Below are 6,000 nucleotides of genomic sequence, written 5' to 3' on the forward strand. Positions count from 1 at the left end.
CAGTGGCAGTATCAGGTAGGCAGTGGAAATACAGTCTAGGATTCGGGCCAGAAGTCAGAGCTAGAGTTGTACATTGGTGAGTCACTATCACATCACATAGTTGGTCTGTAAAGCCAGGAGACCAGATGAGATCATCAAGATTCCAGTGCAGAGAAGAACATGACTGAGCCCTGGGGACACTCCAACATAGAGAGATCAGGAAGACGAGAAGGAGCAAGTAGAAGAGATAGAAAAAGGGAGATAGAGGGTAGGGGTGATGGAACCCCGAGAGAGTGGTGTCCTGTGGCCAAGTGAAGCAAGTGTGGTGTGGAGGAGTGCATGGTCCATGTGTCAAAGCTTCTGTGAGATCAAGGAAGATGAGGACTGAGGATGGGCCATTGGATTTAGCAACATGGAGATCATTGGTGCCTTGACAGGGGCAGTTTTAATATAGTGGTGATGACAAAAATCCTGAACAGTATGTGTTTAATCAAGGGTGAACATTTTATTGTCTTCCTCTTACTTATGAACAGACAGCCAAGGATTGCCAGATAGTTTGGGGAAGTTTCCAATATGAAAGACAGAGACCAACAAAAACAGGAAGAAAGGTACTTGGAAGAAACCAGGTATCACAGGGAATAGAACAAACCTGAACTTCAAAGAGAAGATACTGCATGCTTGAAACAAAAATAGAATTCTAGTTTCAAAAAAGGAAGATACATTCAGAGGAGAAGAGATTGGGCTAGAGAGAATCTTGAGTCTAGGAGGTCAGTTAGGAGTCTATTACAACAATTTAGAAATGAGGGCCTAGACTAGGATTCAGGGAATGGAAATGGGAAAACAGGCTTGCTATAGAAAACCTAAAAAAAAAATTTTTTTTTCTAATTGGGTGTGGTGGCACACACTTGTAGCCACACCTTAGGAGGCCTAGGCAGGTGGATGGCTTGAGGCCGGGAGTTTGAGACCAGCCTGGGCATCATAGTGAGAACTCATCTCTACCAAAAAATTAAAAAAATTAGCTGGGCATGGTGGCATGTGATTATAGTCTCAGCTACTTGGGAGGCTGAGGCAGGAGGATTGCTTGTGCTTAGGAGTTTGAGGCTGCAATAGCTGTGATCATGCCACTGCACTCTAGCCTGGGCAACAAAGTAAGACCGTGTTGAGGTCTTACTTTGACTCCTTTGACCTCTTCAAAAAAAGAATGAGAGGGAAACCTCCCCCTTTTTTGTCTAAAAAGTATAATATATGCTTCTTGTAGAAAAGCTTCAATATATAGAACATGTATTGAAGAGAATAAAAATGACCCTAGTATTACAGCCGATTTAATAACTCTTGAATTCCTCAAGCAATCCTCTTGCCTCAGCCTTCCAAAGTGCTGAAATTACAGGCATGAGCCACCAAGCCCGGCCTCAGATTTAATAACTCTTAACATTCAGGCATGTATGCCTCCAGTCTTTTCTCTATGCTAGGGGTGTCCAATCTTTTGGCTTCCCTGGGCCACACTGGAAGAATTGTCTTAGGCCACACATAAAATACACTAACACTAACGATAGCTGATGAGTTAAAAAAAAAATCGCAGAAAAACTCACGTTTTAATAAATTTGTGTTGGGCCACATTCAAATCTGTCCTGGGCCCCATGCGGCCCATAGGCCGTGGGCTGGACAAGCTTGCTCTATACACATATTTTTGAACAAAATTGGGATCATACTATAGCTACAGTTTTCTATCCTACTGTTTGCACTTAACCATATATAATAAGTCCTCATGTATTTAAATATTCTTTGAGAACACGATTTTTTAAAATTCACATACAATAAAATGCACAAATCAGGTTTACTGCTTTGTTGATTTTTACCTTTGTATACATATACCTATGTAAACAGTCCTCAATGGTAACCACTGTTCTGATTTCTATTATTGTAGATAAATTTTGCCTGAACTTAAGCTTCATATAAATGGAATTATACAGAATCAGCTCTTTTGAATCCTATTCCTTTCCTTCAGTTAATGTTTTAAAAATTGATCCATGTTTTGTGTTTATCAGTAGTTCATTTTTTAATAGATGCATCATACTGCATTGTATGGGTATACCAAAATTTGTTTACTTATTCTTCTATTGATAGCCATTTGAGTTGTTTCCAATTTTTTCGGGGGAAGGGTATTATAAATAAAGCTTATATAGGTATTCTTGTATTTTTATGAACATGTTTTTATTTCTTTAGGAGCAGAATTGCTGGATCCTAGGGCGGGTATATGTTTAGCTTTATAAGACACTGCAAACACTTTTCCATCATGTTTGTACCATTTCACTTTTCTACCATTTATGAATTCGAGTTCCAATTACTCCACATTCTCATCAATGAGAACACGATTTTAATGACCAAACGTCTAACAACTAGACTGGTTGTTAGATGTTTAGATGTCAGTTGTTAGATGCTTTAGAGAGTTTCTACATTTTCACCATTATAAATAGTAATAACGAAGTTCTTGACTATAAATCCTTGACTTCACCTGTAAGAGATATTTTCAAGGGAAAATTAGCCTGACTTTTTATTTCTATGCGGTGTATCATTCAGTAAGTAACTGGTTAAATTTACTAGCAACAATAATAGAACAGATAATGTAAAAGTGCAGCTGACTGAAAAACAATTTCAAGGGGGCTTTGATGTGCATTTCTTCCATAGTTACATTTGAAGTGAACAGATGACTGAAATTCCAGGGCTCCAAAGCACTTCAAACACAAGAATAACCCAAGGTAATAGTATCTCTATTTCTCCACGCTCCTTTCCCTTCCCTTCCCTCCCTTCCTCTTCCCTTCTCTTTCTTCTGCTCTCTCCTCTTCTTCTCTTCTTTTCTCCTCTCTCTTCCTCTCTCTCTTCTTACCTCTCTCCCTCCCCATACTTATATCCATTCATCATGTCTGGATTCTGAAACAAAGTTTGAGTTAAGCCATTATCACAAAAACATGCTACTGACTTGAGAGAACTTTTGAGAGGTGACAGCGTGCTAGCAGTCCTCACAGCCCTCGCTCGCTCTCGGCGCCTCCTCTGCCTGGGCTCCCACTTTGGCGGCACTTGAGGAGCCCTTCAGCCCGCCGCTGCACTGGGGGAGCCCCTTTCTGGGCTGGCCAAGGCTGGAGCCGGCTCCCTCAGCTTGCAGGGAGGGGTGGAGAGAGAGGCGCGAGCGGGAACCGGGGCTGCGTGCGGCGCTTGCGGGCCAGCTGGAGTTCCGGGTGGGCGTGGGCTTGGCGGGCCCGGCACTCGGAGCAGCCGGCCAGCCCTGCCGGCCCCGGGCAATGAGGGGCTTAGCACCCGGGCCAGCAGCTGCGGAGGGTGTACTGGGTCCCCCAGCAGTGCCAGCCCACCGGCGCTGCTCTCGATTTCTCACCGGGCCTTAGCTGCCTTCCCGCGGGACAGGGCTCGGGACCTGCAGCCCGCCATGCTTGAGCCTCCCACCCCCTCCATGGGCTCCTGTGCGGCCTGAGCCTCCCCGATGAGCGCCGCCCCCTGCTCCACGGCACCCAGTCCCATCAACCACCCAAGGGCTGAGGAGTGTGGGCACACGGCACGGGACTGGCAGGCAGCTCCACCTGCAGCCCCGGTGCGGGATCCACTGGGTGAAGCCAGCTGGGCTCCTGAGTAGGGTGGGGACGTGGAGAACCTTTATGTCTAGCTCAGGGATTGTAAATACACCAATTGGCACTCTGTGTCTAGCTCAAGGTTTGTAAACACACCAATCAGCACCCTGTGTCTAGCTCAGGGTTTGTGAACGCACCAATTGACACTCTGTAGCTACTCTGGTGGGGACTTGGAGAACCTTTGTGTGGACACTCTGTATCTAGCTAATCTGGTGGGGAAGTGGAGAACCTTTGTGTCTAGCTCAGGGATTGTAAAGGCACCAATCAGCGCCCTGTCAAAACAGACCACTGGGCTCTACCAATCAGCAGGATGTGGGTGGGGCCAGAAAAGAGAATAAAAGCAGGCTGCCCGAGCCAGCAGGGGCAACCCGCTCGGGTCACCTTCCACACTGTGGGAGCTTTGTTCTTTCGCTCTTTGCAATAGCTCTTGCTACTGCTCACTCTTTGGGTCCACACTGCTTTTATGAGCTGTAACGCTCACCGTGAAGGTCTGCAGCTTCACTCCTGAAGCCAGCGAGACCACGAGCCCACCGGGAGGAAGGAACAACTCCAGACGCGCTACATTAGGAGCTCTAACACTAACAGCGAAAGTCTGCAGCTTCACTCCTGAGCTAGCAAGACCACGAACCCACCAGAAGGAAGAAACGCCGAACACATCCGAACATCGGAAGGAACAAACTCCAGACGCGCCACCTTAAGAGCTGTAACACTCACCGCGAGGGTCCGCGGCTTCATTCTTGAAGTCAGTGAGACCAAGAACCCACCAATTCCGGACACACTTTGACTCTTTCAGCCATCTGTGTGGTAGCATTTGCTGAAACATGGCAGCCAGGCTTGAGAGGAACTGCCAGGTGAATCCACTTCCCTTTCCTCCTCAGCTTTCCCCAGTGGGGCTGGAAGGCATGGCCCTTTCAGCCAGCGCTCATGGCAGAGCAGGATTAACCTCCCTTATCAAAACCGGGGAAGGAGGCAGAGCTTTTCCGGTAAACCTCCTCCCTCTTTGCCACACATTTCCTATGGAAAGACTGTCACGGGGAAGGAGGAGCTGTTATAATGAGATCATGAAGTCAGAGAAGCCATGGTTGTTCTGGATAGTGTTGGTGTGGGAGTAGCTATCTCAAGTGCCTTGAGGTGAGACCTTTAGAATTCTCAGTTTGGGGTCCATGGGAAGGGTCTCCAGAAAACTCTCAGAAAATATGAACTAAACCTAAGGGTATATGTGCACATTTTTCTGAGAAGAGGGTCTGTCTACACAGTAGACCCTTGAACAACATGGGTTTGAACTGCATGGGTCCACTTATACACACATATATTTCAATAAAAGTTATATCAGCCGGGCGCGGTGGCTCATGCCTGTAATCCCAGCACTTTGGGAGGCCGAGGCAGGTGGATCACGAGGTCAGGAGTTCGAGACCAGCCTGGCCAAGATGGCAAAACCCCGTTTCTACTAAAAATACAAAAATTACGCAGGCGTGGTGGTGGACGCCCATAATCCCAGCTACTCGGGATGCTGAGGCAGGAGAATTGCTTGAACCTGGGAGGCAGAGGTTGCAGTAAGCCGAGATCGTGCCACAGCACTCTAGCCTGGGTGACAGAGCAAGATTCCGTCTCAAAAAAAAAAAAAAAGTTATATGAAGTGTGCCTACCTCTCCTGCCTCCCCTTTAACTCTTCTACTTCTTTTACCTCTTCTGCCTCCCACCACTAAGACAGCAAGACCAACCCCTCCTCTTCCTCCTCCTTCTCAACTTACTCAACACGAAGATGATGAGGATAAGAGCTTTATGATGATCCACTTCCACTTAATAAATAGTAAATAGTAAATAAATTGTCTCTGTCTTGCAACTTTCTTAATAACATTTCTTTTTCTTTAGCTACTTTATACTAGCTTTCTTCTGCTCTCTCTTCTCTACTTTTCTCCTCTATATTATATATATGTATATATACACACAGTATATAATACATGTAATGTACAAAATATGCATTAATAGACTGTTTATGTTATTGGTAAGGCTTTGAGTCAGCAGTAGGCTATTAGTAGTTAAGTTCCTGGGGAATCAAAAGTTATATGCAGATTTTTGACTGCGTGAGTGTCAGTGCTCCTGACCACTACATTGTTTAAGGGTCAACTGTATTTTGTAGCTGTCACCATATTCTCAAAGTTATCCAAGGGCCAAAAGAGGCTAAGATTTGCCCAGAATGAGCTACAGATAATGTGCTAAGCTGAAGGAAACCTAATAATTATGTAGTGGCTTTGTGACCACTGCCTGAGATGCCCTTGAAAAAGCCTAATTATTTGGCTTAAGCATCTGACTTTCTCTTCTCACTTTCTTTTTTCTTCATCTGACTGCCTTGGTTTATTCTCTATCATATTTCACCTGTCTC

This window comes from Homo sapiens, chromosome 12 (genome assembly GCF_000001405.40).
Source record: "Homo sapiens chromosome 12, GRCh38.p14 Primary Assembly".
In the NCBI taxonomy this organism is placed as follows: domain Eukaryota; kingdom Metazoa; phylum Chordata; class Mammalia; order Primates; family Hominidae; genus Homo; species Homo sapiens.